Source organism: Homo sapiens, chromosome 9, assembly GCF_000001405.40.
Source record: "Homo sapiens chromosome 9, GRCh38.p14 Primary Assembly".
Taxonomy (NCBI): Eukaryota; Metazoa; Chordata; class Mammalia; order Primates; family Hominidae; genus Homo; species Homo sapiens.
In genome coordinates, this window is record NC_000009.12 from 41448367 (window position 1) to 41465843 (window position 17477).

Genomic DNA, 17477 nt, shown 5'->3' on the forward strand with positions numbered 1-17477 from the left:
TGAACAATACAAATACACTTCTTTTTGGTCACTGACTTCTACTTGCACCTGCAGTTTTAGTCCTCTCTTTTCCACTACACTTTCTGATCTTCTTAGTATGAATTCCAACAAGAGGCTTCCTTTTCTTCTGACTGCTGAGTGAATTCAATGAGTTAAAGTGAATGATTTGTATTCTCAGGAAAGCAGAGAGCAAGATCAAGTATTTTTAACACTGGCTTCCCAGGGGTGATTGGCTTTGTCCCTTAAGCTTAGGTGGTTGCTCTTTTCCTGATGAGTCTACTTTATCCTAAAGTTAGTAAACTTGCTTTGCCACTGGCCCTTTCAAACTAGGGGTGATAAAAATCACTCTAACCAAAGGTTACTGCAGTCTCTTGTGTTCTTTCTCATCCCTTCAACAGCTTTGCAAAGAGTCTCCAAATCCTCTCTGCATTATCCTTATTAAATTGCACTATCAGTTTCTTTATATGACCCCAACAAATACATGAATCTCCTAGTTAGGGAAACTGATAGACTAAGAGTACTTTTCTTTCATGTTCAAAGCTAGAAGGTAAGTATTTTCTAATAATGTGAAGCAGTTGAAATGACAATTTGGGTTAGAGCTGTGCTGTGGACTACAGCTATTTGAAAGTACAGTTTTATTTTTATGACAGTTTGCTCTCTGCTGTCTGGGATATTTACATTTTCCTTTCCTATGGAGAAGGTCAGAGTATGATTGATTCAACATTAAAAATAACTTTAGGTTGTTTAAAGTGAGGATGTTCTAAATGATAATATTTGTGAAGTCCTCTATTTTGATATTTTTCACTTAAGATCAGTGATTTAGAAATCAAGTGAAAATCTTGTTACCATTTGAATGAACATACTGATATTAATAAAATGATAAGTATTTTACATGATCATCCAAGTTAGATTTTGACAGAATGCCTAGGGTCTTGGAGTAACCAGCTTTTGGCAGTTCCTGGCTCTCTTTTTCATATTCAAATTTGTAAAGAAAGCAGAGAAGAGTAAATGTGTGTAGGTGTCTTCCTCCTGGAAGTAGGCACAAACTGCATGGAAAACCAACCAAAAAATGGTAACAGAAAAATATGATAATAATTTATTTAAAAATAAAATTCTTAGACTTTGTCATAACTGGAAGACTATCTAGAATTGTGAATGAAGTAAGGACCCCAAATAAAGACGCATTTCTAATTCTCATATTTCTGGCCCATGCGGCAAATATTGGGTATGCTAGATGGAAGAAAAGGTGTTCAATATATAACATCCTCTTCCATATCTCAGTTTTGATTCTATTAAAATTAATACAAGGAACATAGCAGAATACTGAGAAACAAACACATTTAGTCTGATATAGGGGATGCAGATGAATTTGATTTATATTCATGGCAGTTGAGCCTTCTAATATTGAATTCCAGAGTTAGTGCAGAAGCAAAGAATGTGTGCTTTCTGTGAGTGATTCCTAAATAAAAAGAACAGAGGCATATGTTTTTAACAAGTACTTATGTGGGATTCATAAAATTAATTTTTATATTATCCTCTCCCCTATCAACAAATTGTTAGGGACACCATGTCCGTGTTTTAAATGTTTATTAAAATTGCGTTGTATTTTAATCTCAACAATATCAATATAGATTTATCCTCAGTCATGTGTATCAACTTTTGTGAAAATTAATTTTATTTTCTTTCACTGGCATAAGTTTAATAGTTATTAAAAAAAAAAAAACTCCTGGATTTTTTATTCCCCTGACTTTTTAAATGTTTAAAAGATGGCTGTTTCTTACCTTCATGTGATTAGGGGACCTTATGTTAAATTCTTGAGTTATGCTTTCTGCAGACTTTAGGTAGACAGAGTTTCACTGGTGAGGCAAATTTTTTTAAACTGTGAAATGCACAGATCTAAAGTTTACAATTCAATAACTTTGGACAAATACAAAGACCCATATAATCAATACCGATTCAAGCTACAGGCATTTTCCTCACCTCAAAAATTCCTTCATGCCTTTCCACTTAAATCTCACTCACACATCAAATCTTTAATCCATTCTTATTTTCATAACCATGGATTAGTTTTGCCTCTTCTGGAATGTCATATAAATGGAACTTTATGCCATGTAATTTTTTTTAATTTGTTCAACATAATAAGAATAGATATTCAACTTTTTTATTTCATTCAATATAATATTTTATAGAGGCCCAGACATTTTGTTACACGTCAATATCTGATTTGTTGTTGTTGTTGTTAATTCTGAGTACTGTAGTGTCCACTGTATGAATATATACAATTCGTGTATCCATTCCTTTATTGAAGGTTGTTTGGGTTGTTTCAAGGTTTAGTTTTAAGAATAAAACTGTTCTAATAAGTTTTGAATAAATCTTTATCGTGGCATCAGTTATTATTTCTTTTGTATACGTAACAGAGAAAAAACTTACTGGGTCAAAGAAAAATATATTTTAAACTTTATAAGAAAATAATTAACTGTTCTCTGGAGTGTTTGCCCCATTTTACACTCTTAAGAAACAAAAAGACTTCCAGTTGCTACATATCTATAATTTTTGGTATTGTCAGTATTTTAAAATTTCTTTAAATAATTTCTAGTGAATGTGCAATGGCTGTCATTGTCATGTATATTTGCATATTCCTAATGAATAATGATGTCCAGTGCCTGTTCATGTGACATTGCATATCTTCCTTTGTAAGATATTCAAGACCCATGCCTATTTGGGGAGAGGCTGTTAGACATTTTATTACTGAATAGTACTACTTATTAAGATCTTCTAAGTCATTTGTATGTATTAAAAATAATTCCTCTGATTCTGTGTCCTGCCTTTTAATTTTTTTCAATGCTTTCTCTTGATGAGTAGAAAATCTTATTTTGAGGAAGCCCTATTTATATAATTTTTTCCTTTATGGCTACATTTTCTGTTTGTTTTGTCTGAAATATTTTTGCCTCCCTAAAGATGTAATATTTTGCCTCCCTAAGATGCAAGATTGTTCTCTTATATGCTTTATAGTATTAGTTTTTATATTTATGTTTCATATTTATGTTTATGAGCATCTCAAATTGGATTCATCGCAAATTTGTAAATGATATGGGATAAACATTGACGTTAGGCTAAGCATGATGACTCACATTTGTAACCCCAGTGCATTAGGAGACTGAAGAAGGAGGATTTCTTGAGCCCAGGAGTTCGAGGCTGCAGTGAGCTATGATTGCACCACTCCAGCCTGGGCAACAGAAAAAGTTAGAAATAAAAAAATTAATTTGATTTTCATAAATTTATCTAGTTGTTTCAGATATGTTGTAAAAATATGTGTTTTCTATTGTCCTTTGTCTTCATAGAAAATCAGTTCATCATCTATGTTAAACATAAACATATTTATGGATGCTCCATTTTTTAACATGCAGCTTTAAAAATCTTAAAATAATTTAATGTTACTTCTTTGATTATATTCTTTTCCAAGATTGGCTAAGTTACCTATGTTCCTTTGTATTTCTGCATATTTATATACATCTTGACATCACATTGTTTATTTTTATTTTGCAGTAAAATCTGATGTGATTTTCATCAGAGTTGAAATACATTTGTAGATCAATATAAGGTGGATGGATATCTTAATATAAATAACATATCAATAAGAACATGTATAGATCTACGTTTTCTATTTTTTCTTAAAATTTCTCAATAATATTTTTTAGCTTCTAGATAAAAGAACTACGCATATTTTGTTGCCTTTATTCCTAAGAATTATATGCTTGTGATTATTCTATTGTGAATAGAATTTATTATTATGTTTTAGTGATTCATTATTAGTATGCAACAACACATTTTACCGGTTAAGAACTGCTTATCCAAAATGCTTGTCGAATTAATGCAAAAACAGCAAACTAAATACCACGTTTTCACTTATAAGTAGGAGGTAAACATTTGGTACCCCAAAACACAAAGATGGGAACCATAAACACTGGAGATTCCAAAAGGGAAGAGAGAGGGAGCTGGCCAACTGTTGAAAAACTATCTATTGGGTCTTATGTCCACCACATGGGTGATGAGATCATTAGAAGTCCAATATTCAGCATCACACAGTATACCCATGTGACAAACGTTCAGATGTACCCCTAGAATCTAAAATAAAATAAAACAATCAGTTGCCAATATACAAATTGAAGTTGAATTCAACTCATGCTGCACTCTTTTCCCTGTTGCAATCATTATTACTGATTAAAATCTGTCCTTACCACTTTAACTAGTGTCCTCCTTCGTTTATTTTTAATACAAGAGGCCCTTCTGCCTTGCTTACTTATGTATTTCCAATGTTTGCACAGTTTTTGTTCATAGTGTCTGCTTAATAGGTATTTGTTAAAAAAAAAAATGAGCACATATAGTGAGTTAAAAAATGCTTGGGACCAGAGGTATTTCAGATTTCAAATCATTTTCAGATTTCAGAATATTTACATTATACTTACAAATTCAGTAGTGCTAATCCAGAAATCCAAAATCTGTAATGCTTAAGTGAACATTTCCTTGAGCATCACGTCAGCTCTCAAAAAGTTTCAGCTTTTAGAGCATTTCAGATTTCAGATATCTGGATAAGGAACACTCAACATGCACTTTCATATATTAACCTTGTTTGCTATAAATTTCATATATATATATATATATATATATATATATATATATATATATATATATATAATTTAGTTCTAGTAGCTTTTGAAATGTATTCCTTAGGTTTTTTTCCATAATCATCTCATTTTCAAGTAAAGACAATTTTGTTTTTCCTATTCAATCATTATGCCCTTTATTTTTCTTCTTTTTATAATGGTTAGTGCTTACAGTAATGTGTAGAAGAACAGTAGTGAGATGAACATTATTTCTTTTTTCCTGATTTTATGTGGAATTTTTCAATATTGCACTTTTAAATAGTACCCTGCCTGAAGATTTTTTGTAGATTGTGGAAATAAATAACACCTAATAATAACAGAGAGAATCTATATTTATTCAGACTTTTTATAACAAGAAAGTCAGCTGTCATCATATATGTTTTGCAGAGACTCAAAGAAAGGCTGAGGAATAGGAAAGTTTTGTACTTGGAAAAGGAAAGCTTTTGGATATGCTCTGCCTTAAGGTTGTATGGGGAAGCTGAAGATGGACTAAATAAATAAGGGGAAATGGAGCATCTTATGTGATCAGTCAGAAAGCATACTTGACTTTCTCTGATGGGTCCTGAGTTGGCAGCGGGGGCAAAAATAGGGAACCTGGCAATCATTAACTAAATCCTATTCATTTGGGGCTGGTTGATGCAGAGGCTGTGGTTTGGCTTCCCAGGCTGGTTGCTACAAAGATGTGGGTCAGAACTCTATTCTTATATATGGTCTGGCTACCCCTCCTCCCATTTTGTCATTAACTAGCTTGTGAGGCATTGACCAAGCCAATTCAGGGAAGTTTAGAGATTCAAATCTTCACGACTTAGAGACTGTTTAGTTGTCTCTATTGTCAACCATATTATGAGATGTTCTTGAACTTTTTGCAGTTTTGTAGTAAGGGCGATCTTCTGGTGAGAGGGCTGCTATAAAAAGGAAGTTAAGACTGAGTTGAATGCAATTGGCCAGCATCATGACTACTATGACAAAAACAAGAACAATGAGTAGTTCCTATAAAATGCTTCAGAAATAAAACCCCAGTTGTCCAACTCAAGTCAAGAGAACAAATCTTTCAGGTTATGACGATCAGCCATAGAGAGCCAAGTAACTTCTTCCTTAAGGCAATATATAGCTTATTCCATCTTGCTGTATTAATCATGGTTATTGTTTTTGTTTTGCTTTGACATCTTGAGACCATATGGGTTTCAAGGCAGAGTGCTCCTCCTAGGGTTAGCTAATTTCTAGAAATACTAAACAACTTGCCTATGATCATGTTATTTATATGCAAACCAACCAATCCAGAATCCACACCCTCACTTGACTCTTATTATATGGCTCCTGTGGTCTGGGACATTATCCCTCTGCTTTCGTCACCCCAGAATCAGGTGCTGGAACACTAGGGACTAAATTACACAAAAAGTACTCACACTACCCAGTCTTAAACCTGCTCAGCTGCTTACACTGTCTCACTCATTCCTTCCAAGGAAAACCATATTAAAGGCTCTGGCTCATGCTTTAGTCTTGCTCCTTTTGCCTTCACTGACTCTGGTACTTCCCCATATGGCCCCAGTGCATGATGTGCTGTGGCTCCTGTTTCTAGGGCTTTATGTGTATAAGAACACATGACAGTCATTTCTGTCTCTGCAAGTCTCTCCATAATTAAATGGAGACAAAAAGAAATCTAGAGCAATGAAACAATGTAGTTGTTTTGTTTTTTTAATTAATTTCAACTTTTATTATAGGTTAATGAAAGACTGTTACATGAGTAATTGTGTGATGCTGAGGCTTGGAGTCCCAGTGATCCTACCACCCAGGCAGTAACACAGTACCCAACAGGTAGTTCTTCAGCCCACAACCCCTACCTTTCCTCCCCAATCTAGTGGTCCCCAATGTCTATTGTTCCCATCTTAACATGTGTATTCAATGTTTAGCTACCATCTATAAGTGAGAAGATGTGGTATGTGGCTTTCTGTTCTTCTATTAGGTCACTTAGGATAATGGTCTCCAGCTCCATTCATGTTGCCACAAAGAACATGACTTTGTTCATTTTTATGGCTGCATTGTTTTTTGTGATGTATACATACCATATTTTCTTTACCCAATTCTCTATTGATGGACACTTAGGTTAATTCTATTGCTTTGGTATTGTGAATAGTGCTGCAATGAACATACGGGTGCATGTGTCTCTTAGATAAAATAAATTATTTTCCCTTGGGTATATATACTCAATAGTGGGATTGCTGGGTCAAATGGTAGTTCTATTTTAAGTTATTTGAAGAATCTCAAAACTTCTCTCCACAGTGGCTGAACTAGTTTGCATTCCCACCTACAATGTATAAGCGTTCCCATTTCTCCACAGACTTCTCAACATCTGTTGTTTTTTGTAAGTTTTAATAATTGCCATTCTGACTGGTGTGAGACGGTATTTCATTGTGGTTTTTGCATTTGAATTTATGTGATGATTAGTGAAGTTTAGCAATTTTTAATGTTTCTTGTCTGCTTGTTACGACACCTTTTGAGAAATGTCTGTTCATGTCCTTTGCCCATTTTTTAGGTGGATTTTTTGGATTTTTTGCTTGTAGATTTGTTTAAATTCCTTACAGATGCTGGATATTAGACCTTAATGAGAAGCATACTTTGCAAATATTTTCTCCCATTCTTTAAGTTGTCTGTTTACTCTGTTGATAGTTTCCTTTGGTAGGCAGAAGCTCTTTAGTTTAATTAGATCCCACCTGTCAATTTTTGTTTTTGTTGCAAGTGCTTTCGGGAACTCAGTCATCCATTTGCCAAAGCCTATATCAAAAAGGGTACTTCTTAGATTTTCTTCTAGTATTATTATAGTTTTAGGTCTTACTCGTAAATCTTTAATCTATCTTGAGTTAATTTTCATCTATGTTGAGAGGCAGGGGTCCAATTTCAATCTTCTGTATATGGCTAGCCAGTTACCACAGCACAATTTATTGAATAGGGATTTTTTTTCCATTGCTTGTTTTTGTCAGCTTCTTCAAAGGTCACATAGTTGTAAGTGGGCAAATTTAGTTCTGGGTACTGTATTCTCTTCCACTGGTCTGTGTGTCTGTTTTTGTATCAGTACCATGCTGTTTTGATCACTGTAGCCTTATAGTACAGTTTGAAGTCTGGCAATGTGATACCTCTGGCTTTTCTTTTTGCTTAGGATTGCTTTGGCTATTCAAGCTCTTTTGTGGTTCCAGATGAATTTTATAATAGGTTTCATTCTAATTATTTAAAAAATGACATTGGTATTTTGATAGGAATAGCATTGAATCTGTAAATTGCTTTAGGCAGTATATCCATTTTAACAATATTGATTCTTCCAATCCATGAGCATGGATATTTTTCCATTTATGTGTCATCTCTGATTTCTTTCAACAGTGTCTTGTACTTCTCCTTGTAGTGGTCTTTGACCCCCTTGGTTGGATGAATTCCTAGGTATTTCATTTTCTTTGTGGCTATTGTAAATTGGATTGTGTTCTTGATTTGGTTATTAGCTGCAATGATTTTGGTTCATAAAAATGCTACTTATTTTCCTACAATGTTTTTATTTCTTGAAACTTTACTGAATTCACTTGTCAGTTCAAAGAGCCTTCTGATGGAAACTTTAGGGTTTTCTATGTGTAGAATCACAGCATTGGCAAAGAGAGATTGTTTAATTTCTTTTCCTATTTGGATGGCTTTTGTTTCTTTCTCTTGCCTGTTTGCTCTCACTAGGACTTTCAGTGCTATGCTGAATAGAAGTGGTAAAAGTGGGCATCTGTGTCGTGTCTCAGTTCTCCAGGGGTGTGGTTCCAGCTTTTGCTGTTCAGTTTGATGGCGACTGTGGGTTTGTCATAGATAGTTTTATTATTTTGAGGTATGTTCCTTCAATGCCTAATCTGTTGAGGGTTTTTATCATAAAAGGAACGTTGAATTTCATTTATTTATTTATTTATTTATTTATTTTTGAGATGGAGTCTCACTCTGTTGCCCAGGCTGGAGCACAGTGGCGAGATCTCAGCTCACTGCAAGCTCCACCTCCCGGGTTCACGCCATTCTCCTGCCTCAGCCTCCCGAGTAGCTGGGACTACAGGCGCCCGCCACCATGCCCGGCTAATTTTTTGTATTTTTAGTAGAGACGGGGTTTCACCGTGGTCTCGATCTCCTGACCTCATGATCCGCCCGTCTCGGCCTCCCGAAGTGCTGGGATTACAGGCGTGAGCCACCGCGCCTGGCTGGAATGTTGAATTTTATTGATGGCTTGTTCTGTATCTATTGAGATGATCCTATGTTTTTTGTTTTTGATTCTGTTTATGTGGTGAATCACATTTATCAATTTGCATATGTTGAATCAACTTTATATCCCAGGAATAAACCCTACTTAGTCATAGTGAATGAACTTTTTGATGTGCTGCTGGATTTGGTTTGACAATTTTTGCTTGTATTTTCATCAGAGATATTGATCTGTAGTTTTCTTTTTTCTTTTTCCGTGGTCTATGCCAGATTTGGTAACAGGGTAATGCTGGCTTTGTAGTATGAGTTAGATAGAAGCCCCTCCTCCTTGATTTTTTGGAGACATTTCAGTAGGATTGGTATCATTTCTCCCTTGCCCCTCTGATAGAACTCAGCTGTGAATCCATCTGTTACAGGGCTTTTATTTTATTTTTTTTCGTAGGTTTTTATTACTAATTCCATTTCCAAACTTCTTATTGGTCCGTTCAGGTTTTCACTTTCTTCCTGATTCAATCTTGGGAGATTGTGTGTTTCCAGGAATTTATTCATTTCCTCTAGATTTGTGTGCAGAGAGGTGCTCATAATAGTCTCTGCATATCTTTTGTATTTTCATGGGATCAATTTTAATATAATCTTTATAATTTCTGATTATACTTATTTGGATCTTCTCTTTTTCTTTGCTAATCTAGCTAATGATCTATCAGTATTGTTTATTAAAAAAACTCTTGGCTTCATCTTTTGTGTGGACTTTTAGATAACAATTTTTTTTCAGTTCTCTGACTTCAGTTATTTTTTTTCTTCTACTAGCTTTGGGGTTGGGTCTTTTCTGTTGCTTTTTTTCTAATTCCCCTAGTTGCTATGTTAGGTCATTAACTTGAGACCTTTTTGTCCCCCTGATGAATGCATTTAGCACCGTCAATGTTCCTCTTAACACTGCTTTAGTGTAGTTTTTGAGTCATCATTGCTATAATGGTTAAGTCCAATAGGCCAAAGGCATGAAAAAGTAGTTATGGGGTGCTTCTACCATGTTTCAGATATGTTTTTCCCTTTGAAGTGACCCATTCACATAATGCCCTTGGCCTACTTTCCCCATCCACTCACTTTGCCCCGGCAAAATGGAATGAGGTACTTATTCAGAGAGTTTAAACAAAAACTTGAGGATGCATAACCCAGAATCATTCTTACCTTCTGCCTCTCTGAGGCTCAGAGAAAGCTTACAGTCTGCTCTCCTAAAAACATGTGCATTGCCTGTCAAAGGAGTTCTGTTCTAGTTCAATGTTGTTTCTGTCTGAGTGGGTTCATCTATATAACACTGAGATTCAGGTTTAGGAAGCTGACTCATGTCCATATATGAATCACATTCTGCAAGATCTGCTTTAGTTGTGTTAAATTTATTTTGCTTTCTTCCCTTCTTGTAAGAAACCTATACTATAAGAACTCTAACTTATGATTTTATAATCTGTTCTCTTAACTTTGAATGTACTTTAAGAACAAATATGCATAAACGTTAATCAGTTTCTCTATACAAAATTATTTTTATCTTCTGTTATAATTAAATACAATCATTTCTTAATAGTCAGTTTGTATAAAATCTTTATCAATTATCTCTGTCTATAAACTTTAGGAAAATATGTAAAATCTTGTTCTACATATTTTGAAAATGGTTATTTCTTTATGGTGAGAATTTGGATGATAAATTTAGTTTCATCTTAATTACTTATACTTTTTATTGCTTTCTTGTTAGACTGCTCAGGCTGCCGTAACAAAATGCAATAAACTTGGTGTCTTGTACAACAAAATTTTTTCCGCATAGTTTGGAGGCTAAGAAGTACACGATCAGCATACACATAGTCAGTTTCTGCTGAGGGTATTCTTCATGCTTGTCACACAGATACCTTTTGTTGTGTTCCCAAAGGGAAGAGAGATAGAGAAACACACAGAGAGACAGAGACAAAGGAAGTATACAAGAAAGTGCTCTTCTGTGTCTTTTATAATAAATTCACTAATTCCATCATGAGGACTCCATCCTCATGGTTTCATCTCAACCTTTTGACCTCCAAAGGCCCACATCTCCAAAACCATAATACTGGGGATTAGGGCTTCAAAATTTAAATTTGGGGTGGGAGGGACACAAACATTTAGTCCAAAATATTTGCATTTTAAATTAATGAGAATCCATTCAAACTAAAAAATAGGGTCATTATTATTGATTTTCAAAAAAAGAAATTTGAAAAAAAAGATTTGTCTCTGATTTACTCTTTGAAGAGAGAGTCACATATTGTAGAAAGTGATTGTTAACAACTTCCCCTTAAAAATAGTTTGCCAATTTTAAACCAAAGAAAATTCCAATAATCTATAGTCCCATACCATTAAGTGTACCTAAAAATTGTCATCCTATGAAATGTATACATTATCTTACAATGCATTGTGGAGAATGCCTAGGATTATTAGAATTACTAAATGAGCAAAGTTAATGGATATAAAATAGAATACAAAATCAATTTTCTATAATTAACAGAAATATTTAAGAAATACAATTTCAAAAGTAAACTTCAGTAGCTACTAAAGCAAGATTGTTTATAATAAAAAGACAATGTATCTCATTCTCACTCTATACATCTCATCAAGAATATAAATTTGAAACACAAAGCTTTAAAATTTTAAAAGCAATTTAGCCTGAATCTCAGAGTATGAAAAAAATTTTCAAACCAGCACAAAAACTGACTGGAGCAAGATGATTTGTAAGTTTGGTCCCACTTATATCAAGAGTATCTGTTCCTTCTAAATCACCATTGGTAAAATGAAAAATCATCATAAACAGCATGGCAACATTTGCAAGTACATAACAATCTATTAAAATTCATGATACAATTAATTTCTGTTAAGGATTTAGAAAAAGACATAAAAATTAAAATAGGAAAATACATAAGCAGACTTTTTAAATAATAAAAAAGTTAAAATATATGAAATGGTACCAAAGCTTATTATTAATTCAAATTAAAACTATAAAACAACAAAATACAATTTTTTTTTTTTTTTTTGAGAGGGAGTCTCACTCTGTCACTCAGGCTGGAGTGCAGTGGCATGATCCCAGCTCATTGCAACATCCACCTCCTGGATTCAAGCTATTCTCCTGCCTCAGCCTCTCAAGTAGCTGGGATTACAGGCACGCACCACCATGCCCAGCTAATTTTTGTATTTTTAGTAGAGACGGGGTTTCCCCACGTTGTCCAGGCTGGTCTTGAACTCCTCACCTCTGTTGATCCGCCCACCTTGGCCTCCCAAAGTGTTGGGATTACAGGCACGAACCACTGCGCCCAGCCCAAAATATAATTTCATATACATCACATTATAAATTTTTAGACTGCATTTATTTTTGTGTGAGTTTGGATGTAGGGCAATTCAAACTTTTATATACTACTATTGGCATACAAATTAATGTGATTACATTGTACAACAATTTAACATTATCTAATAATGTTGATCATGTGCCAACCCTGTGACCCAGGAATTCCATTTCCAGAGACATCTTAGCTCTTGCATTTCTGGTGACAAGTACACAATAAGCAAAGTAGCATTGTTAATTTTAAAAAATCACAATAGCATTGAAAATTTCAGAAAACTGAACTAATTAATGTTCACAAGAAGCAGAAAAATAAAGTGTGATCTACTCATTCCTTGGAATAGTGACACACATATCAGATTGGCTTATTCCGAGAACAGTACTTAGAGAGAAAAAAAAGCAAATTAAATCAAAGAGAACCAACAGGATGAAAGATTTGCTCTATTAGACATCGAAACTTTATAACATACAGCAATTCAGACACATCTTGTTCTTGAAGATGGATAGTATGCTGGAGTCACCCTGCCTCAGCTTCTGGCTACGAAGTCTCCCCTGAACTCCGCATGAAGATGGGCTTTACAAATACAAACTAACCAATTCCCAAACAAATACTCTATAGGGCTGTCACACTCCAGGCCACTGTGCTTCTGTCCTAATCACGCTAGGGCCAAAAACCAGAGAACCAGGGACAGCTCTTATGCCCCAGAGCCCACTGAAATTATTCAAACGAGCCGGTCCTAAGCTTGTTTACCCTGCTTGGTTTCTTCCTGCAAACACCACAGTCTAGGGTCTTGCTCGTGAATTCCTCCCTCTCTCTGTTTCCTGATGGACCTGAGTTCTTCCCTGTAGTCTCCCCTGGCGTGACATGCTCCCTTCTCTTGGAAATTCTGAGTATCTTTTCAATGGCAATTGTCTTCCGATCTGTTTACCTTACTATACCTTAGCTTTTCTATTAATATGCTATATATTAAAACAATATTTGATATAGGTGAAAAATTGAGAAAAGATATTCTAAAAGATGGTAAAGCAGAATCACACACAAAGAGTATGTGAAAAAGAATGAGGTAAATACAAATAGAATGACATGGCTAGTGTGTGTGGTTGGTGGGAAAATAAAGAGGGAAATGATGTGTTTTAAGTTTGAGGTTAGAAAATTAGAGTAAAATTGAGAAATACGGTTTTAAGTTCAAACTATTGAATCTATTAAATCTAGAAAAATCAACAATAAAGTATCTATTTAGAGTAATAACTAAATCTGCTTTTCCTTTTTTCAATTAAAATAGAAACAAATATTGTGGCATTATTTTTATTGTTGTAACAGTTTTGGGCTGCTTTTGAGTCTTTGTTTTGGGAAAGTTTTTATTTTTAGGTTATTTTTCTTTTGTGATATTCTAGACAACCTCTTGTATAAATGTTAAAATGTAATTTTACTACGTTTGAGGCATATTTTAATGTGCCCTAGTTATTAACAAATTTATTCAAGATTAAGTACTATATTTTTAACTTCTTAAAAAAATTAATTTCTTTCTATGCAATGATTGACCTTGAAAATACAAAAGTATGTACAGTATGCACATAATATCATACTGAATCTAATTGTTTAACTGTTGTTTAATTCATTTAATCATTCATTTTTCAAGGGAACCATATTAAATAATTAGGTAGAAATTTATCAGCAGTCACTGTGTTTATTTGGTAATTTTGTATGCAAGATAGCACATTGCAGTCTTGAGGAAAGATATTTCCTTACTAAGATAGCTATTAATTCAAATTCTATATTGTTTTAAACAATAAAAATTCAAAATACGTGTTTTGATAAGAAAGGAATTTGAATTTACCAATTGTTGCTTTCTCATTTAATTTTTAAAAAAGAAAAAAGTCCCTATCTTCGAATAGACAACTTTATTAAATCTGATGAATTTTTGTAAAGTCTGTTTAAGTTGTTTCTGCTTTGATTGGTTAAACAACTAACTTTTAAAACAATGTTAGAAACTAACATATTATATATATTTCAGGATATCTTATAATATTATTTTTCTATGTAACTGTACTTGTATCTATGTCTATATCTGTATCTGTATCTGTATCTATCTATATCTGTATTTAGACAGAGTATCTACAAGAACAAGTAGGTGGGAGTTAGGTCCTAATCCAAGGATTTTCAGTCACTGATAAATACAGTTTTCTCACGGAAGTTTCGTATCTGACTGTCTCTCCACTGGAAATTTCTGTTGCTATTCAAATAGTTCTACAATTTGCCTCCAGAAAATATGTCAATAAGATTAAAAAGTCAACATTTCATAAATTGAAATTTCTATTTTGACCTCCTAAAAATATATAACTTTTATTAAAATGAATTACTATTAAAATACATTCCACATAGGTATGGTAATTGCTTTTATTAGAAAAGTTGAAAGAAGTGAGATAATCTGAGTAATATGGTTTACAACAGATATGTAAAAACAAAGAACACATATCTGTCATCTATATTTATTCAGTTTTATGTGTTATAATTAAATGAATTTGGGTCCTTGCTTCTCTCAATTATGACATGATAAATGATAGAAAATAGACATGTTTTTCCAGAAGTCATTTTATAAACATACTATTGAGTAACGTTTAAAAATTAAAAGTAAAAATTAAATATTTATACTTTAATTTGGAGAAAAAAACTGCTATAAGCCTATTATTATAAATGCAAAGTAAGGAGAAGTGTTGAGTCCACTGGTTGCATCAAGAACTTTTTATCAAACTTAGAGGCACATAATCAGAAAAAGATAAGTATATTTGTCCTAGAAATTAAGATTAAAATGTACATATCTAATGACATTGAGAGATAAGGAAAGGTAATGATCTATTAAAATAGTTTCCTGAATGAGTATCAGCTAAAATCTTGACAAATTTGTATGCAGACTGAAATCCTAATCAAAGCATTAGTAAAAAGAAAAAGGTCCTTAAAATTTTCTGAAATTTTTATATGTGAATTATATTTCAAAGAAGCTCCATTTAAAATGCCCTCATGTTCAAAGTAAAAATATATATTACAAATTGTGTAATATGTATTAATTTTAAATTTTATAAAAAATCAGTGAATTCTTTCAAGTTTTTCAAAGTGTTATGGTTAAGTCTAAATAGGAACTATACTTAAATTAGATTGTTTAGAATGAAAAATTATTTTTAATTTATCCAATGTTTATTTTATGTGTTCAGCATTCTGATGATTCTTTGAGAAGGAAAATAGTATAAATAGTTGAACATATTTAAAAACATCCATATTGATCACAATTATACATAATTTTTTAAAGTTCTTTTGATTTTTTGCTATGCTTTGTTAATTAATTGATTAATTGTACTGCAATTATAGCCATAATTGGAATAGGAACTGGACTGTATATAGTTTGACAGGTAGAGAAGTAATATTGTAAGATGAGAAGGAAAGGTAACAAATAGTTAAATGTGAGATAACTTGTATAATGGAATTTAAAAATTGTAATTAAATTTAGAAGTAAAATAAATGCTGACATAGATAAATGTGATAAGAAACATAGAGCAATTTTCAGCAGTATGGACTTATCTTAAAATCGGCAAATGGATACCATCATTTTAAAACATTAATTAGAACTTTGGATCTGCTTTCCCCCATGCCCTATTAGTAGTAATTTCCTTATTGGCTCCCTTTTAGTATGTACATGCCAGTTTAACAATTTCAAAACCCCTAGAGTTTTTTTCATTTCAAACTTATTTTGATTGTTCTAAATGATAAGCAGAGAGAATCAGTTTTTCCTGGTTATTGCTTCCTTTTGTCACATGAGGTCTGTATCCAGAGCCACATATATTTTCTCGAGGTCTTCTTGGGGCACATTTGACCCTATGTCCTCCGCACATGAACAATAAAATTAGTTATCAACTAACATTCATATGACTTACCATGTTTCTCCAAATCATAGCCAGCCCGTGTGCCTGTACTTGAGTCAAGAGCCTCAGCACATCACCGGCTGAAGTTAATTTTAAGTGCAGGGCTTTTCCAAGCTGTGCAGCCTTGTTTGGTATGAAATTTCCACTTAATAAGGTTTTCATAACCAGACTGTTTGAATACTTTTCCTCAGAGTTCTTGAACTCATTGTGCAAATTTTTCCACTTTTCATCTTCTATTAGGTCAGCGTACAATGCACTTACAAAATCAAAGTTTATTGTCACGTCTTAATTCTAGGATGGAATTCTAGGTGTCTGCCTTCTCTACGTTTGCATAAAAAAAGAGGACATTTGGGGAAGACATAAATACAAACAAAAAACAAAACACAAAAGTTAAGTTAAAAATGATAACAATTTGCAAAAGTAGCTTATTTGAAAGTAAAGCTATAATTATTTAAGGATATTCTAAACCAATTTGCAATGTCAATTTGTTGAAGAAGACCATATTTTTATATATTAAGATTTATAGAAGTTAAAATTTTTATCTGAGCAATTCAATATCTTTTTATGATAATAAATTATATAAATTCCAGCAGAAAATCATATTAGATGATTATGGTTTATTTAAGGATTCTAGTAAAATCTTTAACATAGAAAAATACTCATATTGGTATACGTACAGAACATAGTCATCTACCATTCATAGTTCAAGCTAGAGCTATTAAGAATATTAGATTGGATAACTCAATATCAACATTGATATCCATTGTAAATATATACAATAGAAGCCACTAATCTTACCAAAAAGATATAAAATTACTGAAATTTTTTACAAACAAGCTTTCATAATAATATTTATTTTCTGGGCTGTAGCATTAATTCTAAAAAATGACAAAAATTTGTAAGAAAACATATGACATAATTTTGACCTATTGAAATATTATTAAATGTGCTATTAATACAATAGTCATGAAAACCGTTATACAAAAACAAAGTGTTGTTCATGGCATTTACAGAGAACACATTGGTATGACTCCTTCAGGGTATTTATAATAAGTATGAAGCAAGATTTGACTGAGAATACTGAAGAAAACATTCACTTAATTTTTTGAAATAGCTCTGAATAGATGAATAGCACTTATTTAGGTTCTTTATTCTCTTTTGCTTCCTTTCTCCTTTCCTTCTTTTCTGTCATAGATGAGCCAGGCAAGTAACCCAAATGCGTGATATGGACTAGGTGTAATAAAACTAAGCAGTGGAGAAATTGTGGTAAAATGAAGCATCTGAACTTTCTTGTGAAGATCAGCTTCTTAAGTCTATTCAGTGTAAACTGCCTCCACCTTATTTGATGT

General features: G+C 33.0%; 1 long non-coding RNA gene across 1 annotated transcript in view; it reads left to right on the top strand.

Moving 5' to 3' along the window:
- The window catches only part of LOC107984035 (uncharacterized), a 123240-nt gene that overhangs the window by 89505 nt on the left and 16258 nt on the right, over window positions 1-17477 (top strand). The window lies entirely within an intron of this gene.